At 41.1% G+C, this 16684-nt stretch overlaps 2 protein-coding genes and 2 non-coding genes across 18 annotated transcripts in view, besides 7 other annotated features; 3 read left to right on the top strand and 1 right to left on the bottom strand.

Moving 5' to 3' along the window:
* CEP95 (centrosomal protein 95) overlaps window positions 1–7936 on the bottom strand; it is a 31185-nt gene extending 23249 nt beyond the window's left edge. For 5 of the 11 annotated variants that reach the window (XR_007065529.1, XM_047437012.1, XM_047437013.1 and 2 more), the window contains exons 1-3: window positions 5978–7936; window positions 4418–4525; window positions 340–450 (exon numbers count right to left, since the gene is read on the bottom strand). Coding sequence is in view for 7 of the 11 variants with exons in the window: in XM_047437012.1 (XP_047292968.1) it covers window positions 340–450; window positions 4418–4525; window positions 5978–6269 (511 nt within the window). In the remaining 4 variants the exon portion in view is untranslated. Of the gene's footprint in view, window positions 1–339; window positions 470–4417; window positions 4526–5977 lie in introns of those variants that run through there. The other 6 variants (XM_005257779.4, NM_138363.3, NM_001316990.2 and 3 more) reach the window with 3 other exon arrangements.
* Window positions 6931–7547: an enhancer, noted in NCBI's record as "NANOG-H3K27ac-H3K4me1 hESC enhancer chr17:62503269-62503885 (GRCh37/hg19 assembly coordinates)". NCBI's record gives its function as "activates a minimal SCP1, AML or CMV promoter by ChIP-STARR-seq in primed H9 embryonic stem cells {active_cell/tissue: H9 hESC(primed)}" and the evidence as "EXISTENCE:reporter gene assay evidence [ECO:0000049][PMID:30033119]".
* Window positions 7109–7218: an enhancer, noted in NCBI's record as "active region_12599". NCBI's record gives its function as "activates an Ori minimal core promoter by ATAC-STARR-seq in GM12878 lymphoblastoid cells {active_cell/tissue: GM12878}" and the evidence as "EXISTENCE:reporter gene assay evidence [ECO:0000049][PMID:35858748]".
* Window positions 7529–7618: an enhancer, noted in NCBI's record as "active region_12598". NCBI's record gives its function as "activates an Ori minimal core promoter by ATAC-STARR-seq in GM12878 lymphoblastoid cells {active_cell/tissue: GM12878}" and the evidence as "EXISTENCE:reporter gene assay evidence [ECO:0000049][PMID:35858748]".
* Window positions 7819–8058: an enhancer, noted in NCBI's record as "active region_12597". NCBI's record gives its function as "activates an Ori minimal core promoter by ATAC-STARR-seq in GM12878 lymphoblastoid cells {active_cell/tissue: GM12878}" and the evidence as "EXISTENCE:reporter gene assay evidence [ECO:0000049][PMID:35858748]".
* DDX5 (DEAD-box helicase 5) lies at window positions 7832–16444 on the top strand. 5 transcript variants are annotated; one of them, NM_001320595.2, is made up of 14 exons: window positions 7832–7943; window positions 8436–8622; window positions 9856–10021; window positions 10380–10476; window positions 10582–10715; window positions 10830–10895; window positions 11127–11268; window positions 11350–11510; window positions 11600–11772; window positions 12149–12259; window positions 12475–12536; window positions 12629–12688; window positions 13925–14149; window positions 14372–16444. In NM_001320595.2, exons 2-14 carry the CDS (start codon window positions 8579–8581, stop codon window positions 14773–14775), a joined length of 1845 nt encoding a protein of 614 aa, NP_001307524.1. In that variant the 5' UTR covers window positions 7832–7943; window positions 8436–8578; the 3' UTR covers window positions 14776–16444. The 5 variants fall into 5 exon arrangements, with proteins under 5 accessions (NP_001307524.1, XP_047291469.1, NP_001307525.1 ...); NM_001320596.3 differs by lacking the exon at window positions 7832–7943 and adding an exon at window positions 8060–8184; XM_047435513.1 differs by lacking the exon at window positions 13925–14149.
* Window positions 8759–8888: an enhancer, noted in NCBI's record as "active region_12596". NCBI's record gives its function as "activates an Ori minimal core promoter by ATAC-STARR-seq in GM12878 lymphoblastoid cells {active_cell/tissue: GM12878}" and the evidence as "EXISTENCE:reporter gene assay evidence [ECO:0000049][PMID:35858748]".
* Window positions 8949–9158: an enhancer, noted in NCBI's record as "active region_12595". NCBI's record gives its function as "activates an Ori minimal core promoter by ATAC-STARR-seq in GM12878 lymphoblastoid cells {active_cell/tissue: GM12878}" and the evidence as "EXISTENCE:reporter gene assay evidence [ECO:0000049][PMID:35858748]".
* Window positions 9249–9318: a silencer, noted in NCBI's record as "silent region_8843". NCBI's record gives its function as "represses an Ori minimal core promoter by ATAC-STARR-seq in GM12878 lymphoblastoid cells {active_cell/tissue: GM12878}" and the evidence as "EXISTENCE:reporter gene assay evidence [ECO:0000049][PMID:35858748]".
* MIR5047 (microRNA 5047) lies at window positions 13385–13484 on the top strand. Its single transcript, NR_039969.1, has one exon. It is a non-coding gene; the product is annotated as a microRNA 5047 (primary transcript).
* Window positions 13859–13924, top strand: MIR3064 (microRNA 3064). Its single transcript, NR_039891.2, has one exon. It is a non-coding gene; the product is annotated as a microRNA 3064 (primary transcript).

Here is a 16684-nt window from a genome sequence, read left to right as displayed (position 1 = left end):
TTTACCATAAATAGCAGTTCTGACACACGAAATTTTGGAGAAAGAAATTTTATGCAATCATAGGACAATAAATAATTTAGCCAGAAATTTATCTTTCTAGTATAAATTAGTTTTGAAGTAATTTATGAGCAACATCCAAGTTGATAAAGAACATGATGACAGTCTAAGACAGTTTCCAACCAGCTGGAACAATAAGAATTTGAAATTTACAACTACGGTTATCAGGTATACTGTATTAGTGAATCTGCTTCCTATGAAGAAAAATACACAAAAAGATAAAAGGCAAAAGGGACACATCATAAAAGGTAAACCAAACCAAATTTCCATTCTTAAACTTACTTTTCTCATGAGATGTTTCACTGATGCGTTCTGTAAGATACTCCAACAAACCATCAAATATTTCCAGGAGATTCTTAATAGATTCTTTATCTCCTTTCACTATATTTTCTCCTGGAGACAGAATATAGAGCTATTAAAAAATTTAACCATGAAATCTGAAAGCTTCATAATCTTGAAACTTGGATATAACATTGTGAAAATGCTATTTAAGAATACAGGCGATACATACCAACTTACAGCTCCTTGGAGATTAAATAAAAAAAAGAATACAGGTGAAACAATTATAAATATTAAGAACAACAATTTCCTGCTGCCTGATTATATTTGAAGAAAAAAAGGGGGAAGCTTTAAATATGGCGTCTAATAATTCACTGGCATATTCCTTCCTTTTTTGGAGAAGCAAAATAATTGGACTTAAGAAAACATGTCTAGTAAGATTTATACCAAAATATATTGCAGCTAAACAGAACTTTACCAGATTGGTGGGAAAAAGTGGCAGGAGAGAACACTTTCAGATTGTGGTATCCTATTCTAAATGGTGGTTTGTTCAGAAGATTATAGCAGCAGAGTAACATCAAAACAACAAAAAAAAACAATAAACTTGTTGGGATACTTTCATCAGAAATTCCTGAATTCTCCACCATAACCCCCCATATTTGTTAACTCCTCATTTTGTATAGATCATACCATTTTTCTGATTAAAATCCTTTCCCTGGCTCCCTTTCTGAAATATAAGCCCTGCATATAAAACCTTTTTAAATCTCACTCCATCTTCAGCGTCTCCAGCTACATCTCTTACCATATCCACTTCATATTCATAACTTACACTCATAGATCATAGCACAGTCCCTAGCACAGTACCTACTCCGTAACAGATTTTTAATATAAATGATTAGGTTGAAATGTTGAATAGAAATGGGTTGGCAAAAAGCATGGAAACTTGACATATTTAATGTCACCTGAAATGGACTCCAAATCAACCTCAGGTATAGATAGTACTTAACCCTTGTGACACTCTGATTGTCCTTTGGGAGATCATGCCTGGCATTCTCATGAGTTCACACCAATATGGGAAAAGCAGTGTAGAAATTTGACATTTGGGAGAATCTAGCCATTCGTAACCTCAGCCATGATGCAAAACAAACCTAAACCAGAAATTTGACGTTTTATACTACTACTAGTAACGACAACGTTTGAGTTTTTTCGTTTAAAACAATGAACCAGAAATCTTGGTTTTGGACGTGTTTTTCCGGCTTAAAAATACCTAAGTATATCCCAAGAGCATCCTCAAAACTTTTCAGTTTCTAGGATGGGGAGTATACTGACAACCTAGCAACTAAGACTGCCAGCCAGAATGCAGTGCTTCATGCTGCAGGAGAAACTGTTTTACAATTTTTCATAGGGTGGGTGTAATCTGTCAAAGACAGCTCTGCATTAAAGAGTTTTACAAACATGTATGTTTATAACCCTGCTATAGTATGTTTAACAAGCACAAATACCAGAACTTGTCCTACTTGGGTGATAAAGCAATTACAAATTGCAAAAAAAAGAGGGAAACTATGGGAGTAGCCCTCAAATTATCTCCGAACTGATTTACCCATTCACTCACCTAGAACTGCATTAAAAAACTTAAGACAGAAGAGTATTTTATTCTCTTCGCAAAAATTTGTTCTTGTCAGTATCAAATTAAGAGATGTAAATCAGGACTTATCCTGATTAACATTTATCTCCTTTTACAACTATCAAAGAATAAATCAACAGTATAAATCCTCTTTTTGTGATTATAGTTTCACATTGTCAATATTCCCTCTATTCATAAGCTTGAAATAACTTACTGGAATAATCATTCATTTCTAAACATAAATGAAATACACATAATACAGTGATTTATAAATATATTTGGTATGCTTAGTTTTAGAATACAGTATAGTATACTTTATTTTGGAGATTTAATTACAGAAAAAAACTTCTGAATAGATAACATGGTTCAAAATTCAGCAAGTGCAAAAAGTATACACTGAAAGTTCTTGTCCCTTTGTCCTGCAACCCTGAGGTTCCCTTTGTTGGAAGCAATCAGTATTACGAGTTTCTTGTATATGCTTCTAGAGAGTTCTTCCGATTGCAAACAACTGCAAATACTTCTGCACACCTTTGTTTTTACAAACACTAGCATACTACTCTGCACATTACCATTATAATTGTACTACATTTTTCTCGCATCACATATGCTAGAGATTGTTCCCAACACGGAACATTGTGCACAAAGAGCATATTCAGTCATCTTTTACAGCCACAGAGCAGTCCACTGTATGCAGCTATCATGATTTATCTAACCAATCCCTACTAATGGACATTTAGGTGTTTCTAATTTTTAGCTATCACAAACAAGTAGCATTAGTATGCTTTAAAATAAAACAATACGGCCAGGTGTTGCGAGAAGTCAGGGACCCCAAACAGAGGGACCGGCTGAAGCCATGGCAGAAGAACGTGGATTGTGAAGATTTCATGGACATTTATTAGTTCCCCAAATTAATACTTTTATAACTTCTTATGCCTGTCTTTACTGCAATCTCTGAACATGAATTGTAAAGATTTCATGGACACTTATCACTTCCCCAATCAATACCCTTGTGATTTCCTAGGCCTGTCTTCACTTTAATCTCTTAATCCTGTCATCTTGTAAACCGAGGAGGATGTATGTAGCCTCAGGACCACGTGATAATTGCGTTAACTGCACAAAATTGTAGAGCATGTGTGTTTGAACAATATGAAATCTGGGCACCTTGAAAAAAAGAACAGGATAACAGCAATTGTTCAGGGAATAAGACAGATAACCTTAAACTCTGTCCGTTGGTGAGCCGGGCGGAACAGAGCCATATTTCTTTTCTTTCAAAAGCAAATGGGAGAAATATCGCTGAATTCTTTTTCTCAGCAAGGAACATCCCTGGGAAAGAGAATACACGCCTGGGGGCAGGTCTACAGACGGTCCCCCGGGCGTGGCCATCTTTTATGGTCTGTAGACTGTAGGGCTGAAATAGACCTCAGTCTCCCATATCGCTCCCAGGCTTATTAGGAAGAAGAAATTCCCGCCTAATAAATTTTGGTCAGACAGGTTGCTCTCAAAACCCTGTCTCCTGATAAGATGTTATCAATGACAATGGTGCCCAAAACTTCATTAGCAATTTTAATTTCACCCCAGTCAGGTGGTCCTGTGATCTCGCCCTGCCTCCATTTGCCTTGTGATATTCTATTACCTTGTGAAGTACTTGATGTCTGTGACCCACAACCTATTCGTATACTCCCTCCCCTTTTGAAAATCCCTAATAAAAACTTGCTGGTTTTTGCAGCTTGTGGGGCATCACGGAACCTACAGACATGTGATGTCTCCCCCAGACGCCCAGCTTTAAAATTTCTCTCTTTTGTACTCTGTCCCTTTATTTCTCAAACCTGCCGATGCTTAGATAAAATAGAAAAGAACCTACGTGACTATCGGGGCAGGTTCCCCGAAGGCCAGGCACAGTGGTCCAGGCCTGTAATCCCAGCAATTTCACGAGTGGAGCCAGGTGGATCAGCTGAGCCCAGGAGTTCCAGACCAGCCTGGGCAAATGGCGAAACTCTTGTCTTTACAAAAAATAGAAAAAATTAGCCAGGCATGGTGGTGCACACCTGTAGCCCCGGCTACCCGGGAGGCTGAGGTGAGAGGATCACCTGAGCTTGGGAGGTTGAGGCTGCAGTGAGCTGTGATTGCACCACTGCACTCCAGCCTGGGCAACAGAGACTCTGAATCAAAAAATAAAAATAAATAAAACAACATAACATAAAAACAAAAAACACACCTCAAATTACCAGCTAGGATATTTACGTTTCAGACCCAGATCAATTGCAAAATCAATGTTCAGCTCTCCTGGAAAAGTTCTCATGTATGGACCTGACCTCTATCAGTTGATTGTCTTAGCTCAATCTTACAATTTGGTCTACTCCATAAGCTCACTCATTTGGTTAAGTAAACAATGTCTACAGTTCTAACAATTATTTTTACTAAAATGCATAATTATGTGATAGTTATACATATACCAACCTGTTATGTGAGACAAGCTGACCTGCAAGTAGTCCAAGGCCAGTGAATCAATTACTGCTTGTACATTGTGTGCATCATCTTCTTGACTCCTAGGAATAACTATGAGGTCTGGGGGGGGAAAAAATCACATAATTTTGTATCCATGAGAGGCCAAGTTTTCATCTCATTGTCTCTGACTAGGCTACTGAATATGCTCAACTGCTATAAAGGCTCTGCCCAAACAGAACATGCTGTAAAGTACAGATAAAGTTAATAAACCCTGAACTCTACACAGCAGAATCTTTACTGGTTGAGTATTTATTGATTGAACCGATTTATCAATATTAGACTGGTTGAATACGGTTGAATATTTATTACACCATATATATATATATAGATATATAGATATACATGAATATGCTTTACAAGAAGCACCATGTTAAGGAAGATAAAGTGGTCCCTAAATTCAAAGACAGCTAATAGTCTAATAAGGGAGCCAAGACATGATACTTTAACCCATAACTATGGGCTACTTTCTACGAAGAAAAAAAAAACACAGCAGGCATTCAAGGAGCGTTCTTATATATACACATATGTATGTTTATTTATTATTTATTGAGACAGGGTCTCGCTCTATCGCCCAGGCTGGAATGCAGTGGCGTGATCTTGGCTCACTACAACCTCCACTTTCCCGGCTCAAGCAATTCTCTTGCCTCAGCCTCCCAAGTAGCTGGGTTTATAGGCGTGCACCACTATGCCTGGCTAATTTTTGTATTTTTAGCAGAGATGGCATTTTGCCATATTGGCCAGGCTGGTATTGAACTCCTGGCCTCAGGTGATCCACCTGCCTCAAGTGATGAGCCTCCCAAGGTAATGGGATTAGAGGTGTGAGCCACCGCGCCTGGCCCTTATATGTCCTTTTGAATAGCCAACTAGAATTATTGGTATAAAGATTTAAAAGGTCAGCACAGGCTGGACGTGGTGGCTCATGCCTGTAATCCTATCACTTTGGGAGGTAGACGGGAGGATCACTTAAGCTGAGTTGGTACCACCCTGGTCTTGAACATAGTGAGATGGTGAGCAAGATGAAAGGACATATGCGCTTATTAACTGTCTTGGTAAATGAGGTTCATCATCTACAAGCATCAATTCTTATCCCTAGCACTGGTTAAGTAACAGAATCCAATAAATTCCCAAGCTCCACTCAATTTTACAACCTTTGAAGGTACATTTACAGAAAAGATGCAACTTTCACAAGGCAGTAGCCATGATTAGGTTAAGCCGTGATTATCAGGAGCCCTCAAACTGATCTGCTCAAGGCCGTTATTATGAGTGGGTTCCACAGGGTATTCCTTAAGGAATACAATATTATAATTATACAATATGTGATATTAAATACAATTTAATATACAATATTTATTTTAATATTGTATATTAATATAGAATTTAATATGCAATATTAAAAAAAGAAACAAGCAAAGAGAAAATGAAATTTTATAAATATCAAAGAATCTAACTAAAGGACTAAAAACTTTTGGCCTAAGATATAGGCAAAATTACTCCTGCTTTTAGTATTCTTACCTGGTACCTTTTCTCCCAAAATAGACTGATAAAGAGCAATAAAAACATTAGCATCACAGTCTTGAAGTTCATGTATTCTCAGATGTATATGACACTTAAAAAGAAGGTTATTGGCAATGGTTACCCACTCTGTTGGGAAAAAGGGGGAAAGATCAGTCTTAAAAACCACCAGAAAAAAATCACACAGACATTTAAAAAATCCAACAACCTCCCCCCCAACAAAAACAGACACTGAACTTTGCAGAAGATAAGGAATTTGATTGTTAGAGAATTTCAAAGACCCTTTAGGCATGGTTTTTAAAAAGATGTATTTAATTTCTTGGGATGATTTCCAGAGTGCTGTAATTTCTACATAGTCAAAACTATACTGCAAATTCAATTGATACTGTTGCAGCCTAAAATCTTAAGTTACTTATATAAGCCTTACATGGGTGTTTTTAGTTAAAACATATTTACAAGTAAACAGGAATATTATGTCATAAACAACAGTTTAATGATAATCCGAGGTTACCAGAAACTCATTAATGGAGGCTGCTTCGCACTTGCAATAGTATTGGTCTTGTGTTTACCCAATTATCTTGTGCAAGTCAGGGTTTCTCTGGTGCCGGAAAAAGTGGTGATTAAACTTAGGCTGTTAAGAACTGGTATAATAACAACATCAACGGTAATGCATTTGTTAGTTTTTCTTTTTTATTATATCGATCTATATGAAAGAAAATATGGGAAGTACATGAAGCTCAGAATTATCAATACTGTTGACGTTTCCTGCGTACCACATTCTCCTCTCCCCTAGATATTGCTGGGATTTGCAAAGTTTAACGGTTTCTGTACCAAAAGTAACTTAGCTTAAAATACTTGTTCCTTGAAATGCCTGGGAATTGGTAGGAAAGCACTTTCAATCGGTATTAGAAACAAACATCTCCACTATGTTCTGGACACGTAACGTTCTGGAAACGAATGAGAGTGTATTTTCCATGCACATAATCCCCCTCCCCACGCCCATTTCTCACAGCTGGCCAAACCATGACAACTGGTTTGTACGCAGTCCTTGTGAAAAGGATGAAAGCGTCCTAGACAACCAAATTAATTCGCTCTTCAAAAGCGGTGCTAGACAAAGCCCATGACTCTAGAGGGCACTGAAGAGAAAAAAGCACAACTATTCTACAGGGGCATATTCTACTATTCTGCAGGGGCATAATAAATCTTAAGAATGCTGTTCCTTTAAAGACCAATACAAAAGCAGGTACGACCTCAGGGCCCATAGTGCAAGGGCGGAGGGCACACGGACAGCGGCTAGACGCCCCACAGAAAGACAAGTCCGGGGACGACCCTTCTGACCGCTCTTTTTACAGCCAGGACCCAAGTGTCCTACCGGCCTCGCCCCAGTGCCTCTCTCTCTCCCACAGCATACTGCTGTTCCACGGCCTCGAAGCGAAGAGGTGGTGAAGCTGAGAGACCCTATCCAGGGAACCCGCCAGCGCGACGCGGCGTCTGAAGGTCACGAGCCCCGCCGACAGCCCAGACCCAGTCCGGGCTAGCCCGAGGCCTCCCTGGAGGTGGACGGTTTCAGTCCACACATACTGGGACCCCAGGGAGACACTCACCAGCATCCGAGCCTGCCATGTTTCAGAGGCAGGTCGCCGCCGGACTCCGACGCGGCCGGGAAGGCGACGGTGTCCTGGAAGGACCGATCCACGCAGACCCGACACTGGGGCGCGGACGCACGAACCAAAGCGCGGGGAAGGAGGCGTGAAAGAAGGACGGACGTTAAAAGAGCTTCTCGCCGCTGATTGGTCATCAGAGGAGCACTTCCTTTCACAGGACGTGAAACGGGGGCGGTTTGGGAAGTTTAGAGACCATTCTCCGCCGACCAAAACCCGTCAAAGGATTATCAGACACGCGGGTCGGACGGTCCACATCAGCCGGCAGCCCGGGCGGGTCCCGGGGTGCGAGCAGCGCACTTCCGGTGAGCTATTTCGTTTTGTATCCCTCCGCCGACGTCAACGGGAAAGTAGTGCGGACCGCTCTCTCGGTGGTCCGGGGTGGTACAGCCACGTGACAACGCCAGGCCCCGCCTTCCCCCTCTTTTGGTTACAGACGTGAGGGCTCTTTGGAGACGTAAACATCTCCGAGTGGCGAGGGTGGGCGGGGCTGGGCTTGGGAAAGGGCGGGGTGGCTTGCTTGAGGTGTGGAAAGACCAGAAGAAGGTGAGGTCAAGAGAGTGCAGAATGAGGCATTCCAATGGTGGGTGGGCCCTGACCTGAGAGAGTGGCGCGGGGAGGGGTGAAAGCGCGGCGATCCTGGAACGCCAGCGGGCGTTGCGGCCTATGCGCGAGGGGCGGGGCGATTAGGTCATAGAGCGGCTCCCAGCGTTCCCTGCGGCGTAGGAGGCGGTCCAGACTATAAAAGCGGCTGCCGGAAAGCGGCCGGCACCTCATTCATTTCTACCGGTCTCTAGTAGTGCAGCTTCGGCTGGTGTCATCGGTGTCCTTCCTCCGCTGCCGCCCCCGCAAGGCTTCGCCGTCATCGAGGCCATTTCCAGCGACTTGTCGCACGCTTTTCTATATACTTCGTTCCCCGCCAACCGCAACCATTGACGCCATGTCGGGTTATTCGAGTGACCGAGACCGCGGCCGGGACCGAGGGTGAGTTTGGGAGCCGAGCTGTCAGGCCTGGCGGGTGGGGGGATGGGAGGGCGGGTCAGGGTGGCGGCCGGCGGGGGCTTTGCGGCTTGGACTTGGCCTTTCCGGGCTATCTTGGGACTTCCTTTCCCGAAGGCTTGCGCCATTTTGATATTCACGTCACAGTGATTGGAAGAGATTTGACGGTGTAGTGTCTTCAAGCTTGCTTTTTGTGTGGGGATTGGGGAGCTGTCGGGGCGGCTGCCATTTGGTAGCTGTTGAGGGAGTTGAGAGGGAGCGTATTGTGCGGATGAAAGCGGGACGCTTCGAGGCAGACGAAGGAACATCTGTTAGGTGCGGCGTTTCGGGAGGTGTTTTTGGGGTGGCCGGGCATTCTGTGGGAGCGAGGGGACCACTTCCAAAGCCCTGGTGCTGTTGGGGTAGGAGGGCGGCCGGCATCAGCCATGTGGCTGAGTCGCGAGTACAAAATGCCGGCCTCGGACATGGCGGCGGCGCCTTTGTTACCCCGCCCGGCGGAGGAGCTCAAAATGGCAGCGTCGAGAAAATGTGGCGCAGAGAGAAATGCGAGACAAAGGGGGAAGCGCCGCCCCAGCGGGAACGCCGCCCGGCCGACTCCGCCCGGGCCGGGACTCCTCCCCCGGTAGTCGCCGGCTCCTCCTTTTCTTTTTTCCTGCGTTATATAATTTTGATTCGTTGATCCGGAGCTCTACCGCGGCGTTCCCCCAGCTGGGTTTGCTAGCAGAAGTGTTTCTGAGAAAACCCTTGTTCTGTTATCGCTGACTGTACTGTTTAGGTTCTTACCACTAAAGCTGTTTGGTTCCAAAACGGCCATATGAGTAACATCGTCGTGATGCTCTTCGGTTCATGTAGCCTTGTTATTGCTGATAGTGAATTGCTAGGCTGGTGGGGAAGATTACAGTAACCACAAGAAGTGGTGTGTGCCAGAATCCCAAATTCTGGCATGTGGGTGACAAGTTTCCGACATGATAAATCCCCGGCTTCCGACATGATAAATCCCAGGCTGTTTACATGACCTAAGTAATGTGTACTTGGGACTACGGGAAATGTTAACTGTGGCTGTTGAGAGAGAGAGAGATTTTCACGAAGGACAGTGCTAGGTTTACCTCTCGAAGTCTGTTTTCAGTGGTTTTTAGCTTGTGCCAATGGATGACAAATCTATACAGAAACCTGGGTATAGCCATTTGAAAATGTGAATAACGTTTTTTTTCATTCCAGGTTTGGTGCACCTCGATTTGGAGGAAGTAGGGCAGGGCCCTTATCTGGAAAGAAGTTTGGAAACCCTGGGGAGAAATTAGTTAAAAAGAAGTGGAATCTTGATGAGCTGCCTAAATTTGAGAAGAATTTTTATCAAGAGCACCCTGATTTGGCTAGGCGCACAGCAGTGAGTAAATTCATGTGGCTTCATCAGGCTGTAACTCGATCGTGGATTCTAGTAAATGAAATTCTGACAGGTGTTTTGCAAATAACTCAATTTTGGTAGAGTTACATGTTCTGACTTCATAATTGGGAAAGGTGTGACTCACTTTTGGATATAGGTGGCTTTGGGATTTTTACTTAAATTAGGTTGAGTATAACAATAAATTTTTTTTTTCATAATAGGGTGTTCATAGGTGGGTCCAGATTAAAATGAAGGCTACTTTAAACTAGTTACTAAATTATGAAGTTAGGGGCTTATCAATTACGTATTTAGCTAGGGGTGGTTGTCATGAATTTTAAGACTGTTATAATTTGTTTTGCAGCAAGAGGTGGAAACATACAGAAGAAGCAAGGAAATTACAGTTAGAGGTCACAACTGCCCGAAGCCAGTTCTAAATTTTTATGAAGCCAATTTCCCTGGTAAGTGCTACTTTTCAGTTCTACCTACCCGTGTTTTTGTTTCCACCTACCCCCTCTTTTTCTTGGCATCACTAATTTTTACTAAATATCTGTTACTAATTATAGCAAATGTCATGGATGTTATTGCAAGACAGAATTTCACTGAACCCACTGCTATTCAAGCTCAGGGATGGCCAGTTGCTCTAAGTGGATTGGATATGGTTGGAGTGGCACAGACTGGATCTGGGAAAACATTGTCTGTAAGTTTGGGAGAACTCTTGAGTTGATCTGATATATGCAAGAAAATGTAATGGTAATTTAAAAACGAGTATTTTAATGTGATTTCTGTTTGTCCCCACTTTCACCCTAAATAGTATTTGCTTCCTGCCATTGTCCACATCAATCATCAGCCATTCCTAGAGAGAGGCGATGGGCCTATTGTAAGTATATATTTTTAACTTTTTATTAGAAGCATAATGTGTAGATTTTAGACTACATAGCTAAAGATGTAATCATTTGTGGTGGTTTTATATAGAGGTTAGCTCACCCTATTCAGCTGGAGCTGTTTTGGGTATTGGACAACACATGAAGAAAGGATCTGCTAGTATAATAAGTTAGCAGTTTAAAACTAGTATCCAGGTTTGTGCTGAAAGCTGTTTCTCTTTCCTTAGTGTTTGGTGCTGGCACCAACTCGGGAACTGGCCCAACAGGTGCAGCAAGTAGCTGCTGAATATTGTAGAGCATGTCGCTTGAAGTCTACTTGTATCTACGGTGGTGCTCCTAAGGGACCACAAATACGTGATTTGGAGAGAGGTATGTAATGAAAAGGGTTTTATTTGTCATTGGTGCTAAATATCCTAGGTATTGTAGTTACACTTACGTATTTAATTAAAGGTGTGGAAATCTGTATTGCAACACCTGGAAGACTGATTGACTTTTTAGAGTGTGGAAAAACCAATCTGAGAAGAACAACCTACCTTGTCCTTGATGAAGCAGATAGAATGCTTGATATGGGCTTTGAACCCCAAATAAGGAAGATTGTGGATCAAATAAGAGTAAGTGTCCTTTGAAATATGTGATCAAACTGAATTGTGTTTTCACTCTTAAGAGTCTGATACTAATTTTTCCCCCCAAAATCCATTAGCCTGATAGGCAAACTCTAATGTGGAGTGCGACTTGGCCAAAAGAAGTAAGACAGCTTGCTGAAGATTTCCTGAAAGACTATATTCATATAAACATTGGTGCACTTGAACTGAGTGCAAACCACAACATTCTTCAGATTGTGGATGTGTGTCATGACGTAGAAAAGGATGAAAAGTAAGTTTTATTAACTCTGTTATATTTGCTTCCTAACAACTTTGCTGTAAAATTGAGGGATCATTGTTTGGTGAGTTGTTTTAGGTTATTTCAGTTGGTGTGATTTCATTTAGTTAGCCTACTAATCCTGAAAATTTCTTGAATCCTTCAAATAATGGCTGTCACCATTTATAGCTTTCCTATAGAAGGAATTCATGTGTCCCCTGGTTGACTTAAGGACCAAGGGTCGAACTGCTCGATAAGTGGATTAGCAGGCGTTTCCTCTTTGACTTCCAGCCATGTAAATTGAACTTAATGTTTTGCTGACCATAAATGTGTGGCCCTAGCAATGGTCTTTTAAAACTCAGGATTTTTCCTTTCTCTCTCCTATTATTAGACTTATTCGTCTAATGGAAGAGATCATGAGTGAGAAGGAGAATAAAACCATTGTTTTTGTGGAAACCAAAAGAAGATGTGATGAGCTTACCAGAAAAATGAGGAGAGATGGGTATGTGTGAGCTCCTCCATTGAAGCAGATTGATTAAAACAGCTTAGGAAAGGGCAAACTTGGATCACGAGCAGTGGATTTTTTTCATATCTGATAGTGAATTTAACTTTTTCATTTCTGGCGAAATTAAAGAGATCTGTGACCAAAAGTGGTCAAGCACTGGAGTCTGAGGTTTTCAATGTGAGTTTAATAACACAACTTGTCTTTTAACTTAGGTGGCCTGCCATGGGTATCCATGGTGACAAGAGTCAACAAGAGCGTGACTGGGTTCTAAATGGTAAATATTTCAAATGAAGTATTTTTCCCCCTTACTTAACCTAGCTAGAATTCTGCTCAGATAATTGATCATGTATATGCCTTCCTTTGTAGAATTCAAACATGGAAAAGCTCCTATTCTGATTGCTACAGATGTGGCCTCCAGAGGGCTAGGTTAGTACAAACTCGCATTCATGGCTTGGTTTCCCAGAAGATCTCCATTTAACTTTTTTAAAGAAAGTTTATTGCTTTCTTTAACCTGCATTTTTTCTAAGTTTTTTTTCACATAAAGGTGCTGTCTTTGTGGCAAGGCCTAGGCATGACAATCGGAGGACTCGAGGGGGATGGAGGACTAGTGATCGGCTGGCTGCTTCCAGTCGATTAGAGAGGTGAAAAAGCTGAACGTGTGCCAGTAATCTTCAAAAGGCAGAACATATCACCTCTGCCCCGTAAACTGTTCTCTCCGAGGGAAAAAATGGAAGTTATCCTCACAGTTCACTGCCGTGGTATTTCTTCTGTCCCATGCTTTGCATGACTGCCATGGTACAGCCTTGTTTCAAACTGTTCACTGTGATCTGTGGGTCTTTGAGTTTCAGTGAGTTTGCTGAAATGTCGAAGAAGTAGTTCCAAACTTCAATGTTCAATGAAATTTTTGTTCAAGTTTGAAATGGAGAGAGCAGCTTTAAAAGGTACTAAGCCTTTTACAAATTGGTGAGTACTGGCACATGAGATCTAGAGCAGGAGCAACTTCTCACACATAGTAAGTGGGAAAAGAAAGTGCTTTGAAAGTTCCTCCCTCACCTACACAGTAGTCGTCATGTCGAGACCTGCCAGAGAGAGACACATTCTCAAGTGAATCCTGGCTTCTTGGAAGCGCTTGCCTAGACGAGACACAGTGCATAAAAACAACTTTTGGGGGACAGGTATGTTTTCTTGCAGCTGCGGTTGTAAGGTCTTGGCAAGACAAGCAGTGTGGCCAGAATTTTGAACTTCTGATGAATGTGTAATGCAAAGGACCTTGTACATTTTTTTGTTTCAAGGTCCTCAAAATGAGCACATGAAGAGGTTGCTGTGAAACTTTAAGTGGCCCTACTGCGCAGAAGCATTCAGATGTCACTTGATGATCTGTAAGGGAACTTGCTGATTTGGGAATGTGCTTAGGGAACACACATTCCTTTTGACAGGGTCTGTCACTGGGTGGGTGATGAATTATACAGATGACATGTGCTTTTTTTTCTTTTTTCAACCTCAATGGTATTCCTACAGGAAATGGATAACCATTTTAACTGTATTTTTTGCAGCCCGTACCTTCTTGGGAATACAATTGTCTAACTTTTTATTTTTGGTCTGGCTGTTGTGGTGTGCAAAACTCCGTACATTGCTATTTTGCCACACTGCAACACCTTACAGATGTGGAAGATGTGAAATTTGTCATCAATTATGACTACCCTAACTCCTCAGAGGATTATATTCATCGAATTGGAAGAACTGCTCGCAGTACCAAAACAGGCACAGCATACACTTTCTTTACACCTAATAACATAAAGCAAGTGAGCGACCTTATCTCTGTGCTTCGTGAAGCTAATCAAGCAATTAATCCCAAGTTGCTTCAGTTGGTCGAAGACAGAGGTTCAGGTAAGGATGACTGATAGGAAATGTTGGTAGTTACGAGTCACATCGTTGTCTACAAATCCATTTAAATGGTATTGGAGGGTGAGTAAAACCTTGAATGTGAAAACTTAAGCTGAAAAATTGTAAAAACATTTCACGCCTACCATGAATAGATCTGTTTCTTTCTGTCCACAATGATTTGTGTCATAGACATAATTGATCAATTTGCAATTGTTTTCTTGACAGGTCGTTCCAGGGGTAGAGGAGGCATGAAGGATGACCGTCGGGACAGATACTCTGCGGGCAAAAGGGGTGGATTTAATACCTTTAGAGACAGGGAAAATTATGACAGAGGTTACTCTAGCCTGCTTAAAAGAGATTTTGGGGCAAAAACTCAGAATGGTGTTTACAGTGCTGCAAATTACACCAATGGGAGCTTTGGAAGTAATTTTGTGTCTGCTGGTATACAGACCAGTTTTAGGACTGGTAATCCAACAGGGACTTACCAGAATGGTTATGATAGCACTCAGCAATACGGAAGTAATGTTCCAAATATGCACAATGGTATGAACCAACAGGCATATGCATATCCTGCTACTGCAGCTGCACCTATGATTGGTTATCCAATGCCAACAGGATATTCCCAATAAGACTTTAGAAGTATATGTAAATGTCTGTTTTTCATAATTGCTCTTTATATTGTGTGTTATCTGACAAGATAGTTATTTAAGAAACATGGGAATTGCAGAAATGACTGCAGTGCAGCAGTAATTATGGTGCACTTTTTCGCTATTTAAGTTGGATATTTCTCTACATTCCTGAAACAATTTTTAGGTTTTTTTTGTACTAGAAAATGCAGGCAGTGTTTTCACAAAAGTAAATGTACAGTGATTTGAAATACAATAAATGAAGGCAATGCATGGCCTTCCAATAAAAAATATTTGAAGACTGAATTAAGTGGAAATTGTACTTTATTTTATATAATGTCATGTAAAACTTTGCTTAAGATGGTCTGGTTTTTTTTTTGTTTTTGTTTGGTTTTTTTTTTCCATGAAAACAAATGACTGTTCCTTTTTATTTAATTTGGGAGGCAGGGGGAATCAGAAGGCCCTTCTTTATAATGAGCTATTCATATTGCAGGAGTCAGAATGAATTGATACAGGTGAATTTTTAGTTACAGGCTAAATTGCATAAAAGCTTTGTCAGCTTCCAGCATCAGGGGAGTCATTTAATAGCCTTTTTCCTTATTTGCTAGTATGGTTAAATGAGAAAATAGTAAAATAGATACAAAGTCATCTATATAGTGTGAGAACGTGGGTGACTTTTTCAAAGTTTATAATTTAAAAAGCTCCAAATAACTGGCTTTTTCAAGAGACTTATACTCATGCTCTTGGCTATACTGTGAATTACTGAAATGTTGAACAAACCTGTGAAAGACATACATTAGCCCTTTAAGATGGCCAGGAGCTAAGCTTGAGTCTCCTTTACTGAATTTCGTTCTTAGTGCAGGTTACTTGTAGATTCTAGTCTTCACAGGCTCCCTGGGGCTCTTAACTAGTCACACTGGGAGTCATGAATGTCTTTCCAATAATTCAGGGAATTCTAGAGATCCTCAAACTGTAAGGTCTATTCATACTCAACACAAGGAAAAAACCTCATTAAAATTAATGACTAATCAGGAGGCAACGTAACCAAAAGCACAGTGAATGAAAGTTTTCATGGTAGGTTCAACATGGGTTTATTGCTAGAAAGATCCAGGGGATAGCTTTAGGTTTAACTTCGGCTCACCAACGTAACTTTCTAATCATTTATTTCAGTAATAGCTAGAAGTGGGTCTGAATGTTTTCCCAGAGTCTGATACGTGTTTTTTTTTGCCAGAAGAGAGGTCTTCAGGAGACTTCATTTAAATTCTGATTATTAAACTGAGGCTTTAATTGATGTTAATGCCTTATGTCAAATGTAAAGTTAGAATTTGCTAGGGCTGGGATAGGGAGTGATATTTCTAGGACTTAGACATTGAAAACTAATTCAGCCTGTAGTAACCTGGATGGTTTTCAATGGCATGGTTAGTCAAATTCATGGTTTTAAACTTAGAAGCAGCTTTCGGGGGAGAGGGTAGGTTGGAGCATTTATTACATATTTTACTGTTTAATGTCTTAACCGTGGGCCTTTTAATTTGTAAACACTGAAATGATTGTTGGGCTGTGGAAAACATTTACCTATTTACCTTGGAAGTTTTAAAAGACAGTCCACTTTTTAGCATGTGTGTTGTGTCCAGCCTGTGGTCGTCTTAACTAATAAATGTGATTTTTCTCCCCATTCTCTCTTTTTATTTATTTGCGTATAGGCCTTTTACCTGGTGTGAGTTCCTGAATGTGGAAAACACCTGGCAGTAGTACCCAGCTTTGCAGTTAATTACTATCTAGCTGGCCTTTTTTTAAACCCTTGTATACACTTGTAAAGAAGAACTATTTCCTGAACCTGGTACAGCACTTTACTAATGATAAAACTTTACTCCTGAATTACATTAACTCAATTGCTAAGCTGTTACCCCTCTTA

This window comes from Homo sapiens, chromosome 17, assembly GCF_000001405.40.
Source record: "Homo sapiens chromosome 17, GRCh38.p14 Primary Assembly".
NCBI classification, from domain to species: domain Eukaryota; kingdom Metazoa; phylum Chordata; class Mammalia; order Primates; family Hominidae; genus Homo; species Homo sapiens.
Note: the sequence above shows the minus strand (reverse complement) of the source record. Positions and strands in the feature narration are given on the sequence as shown.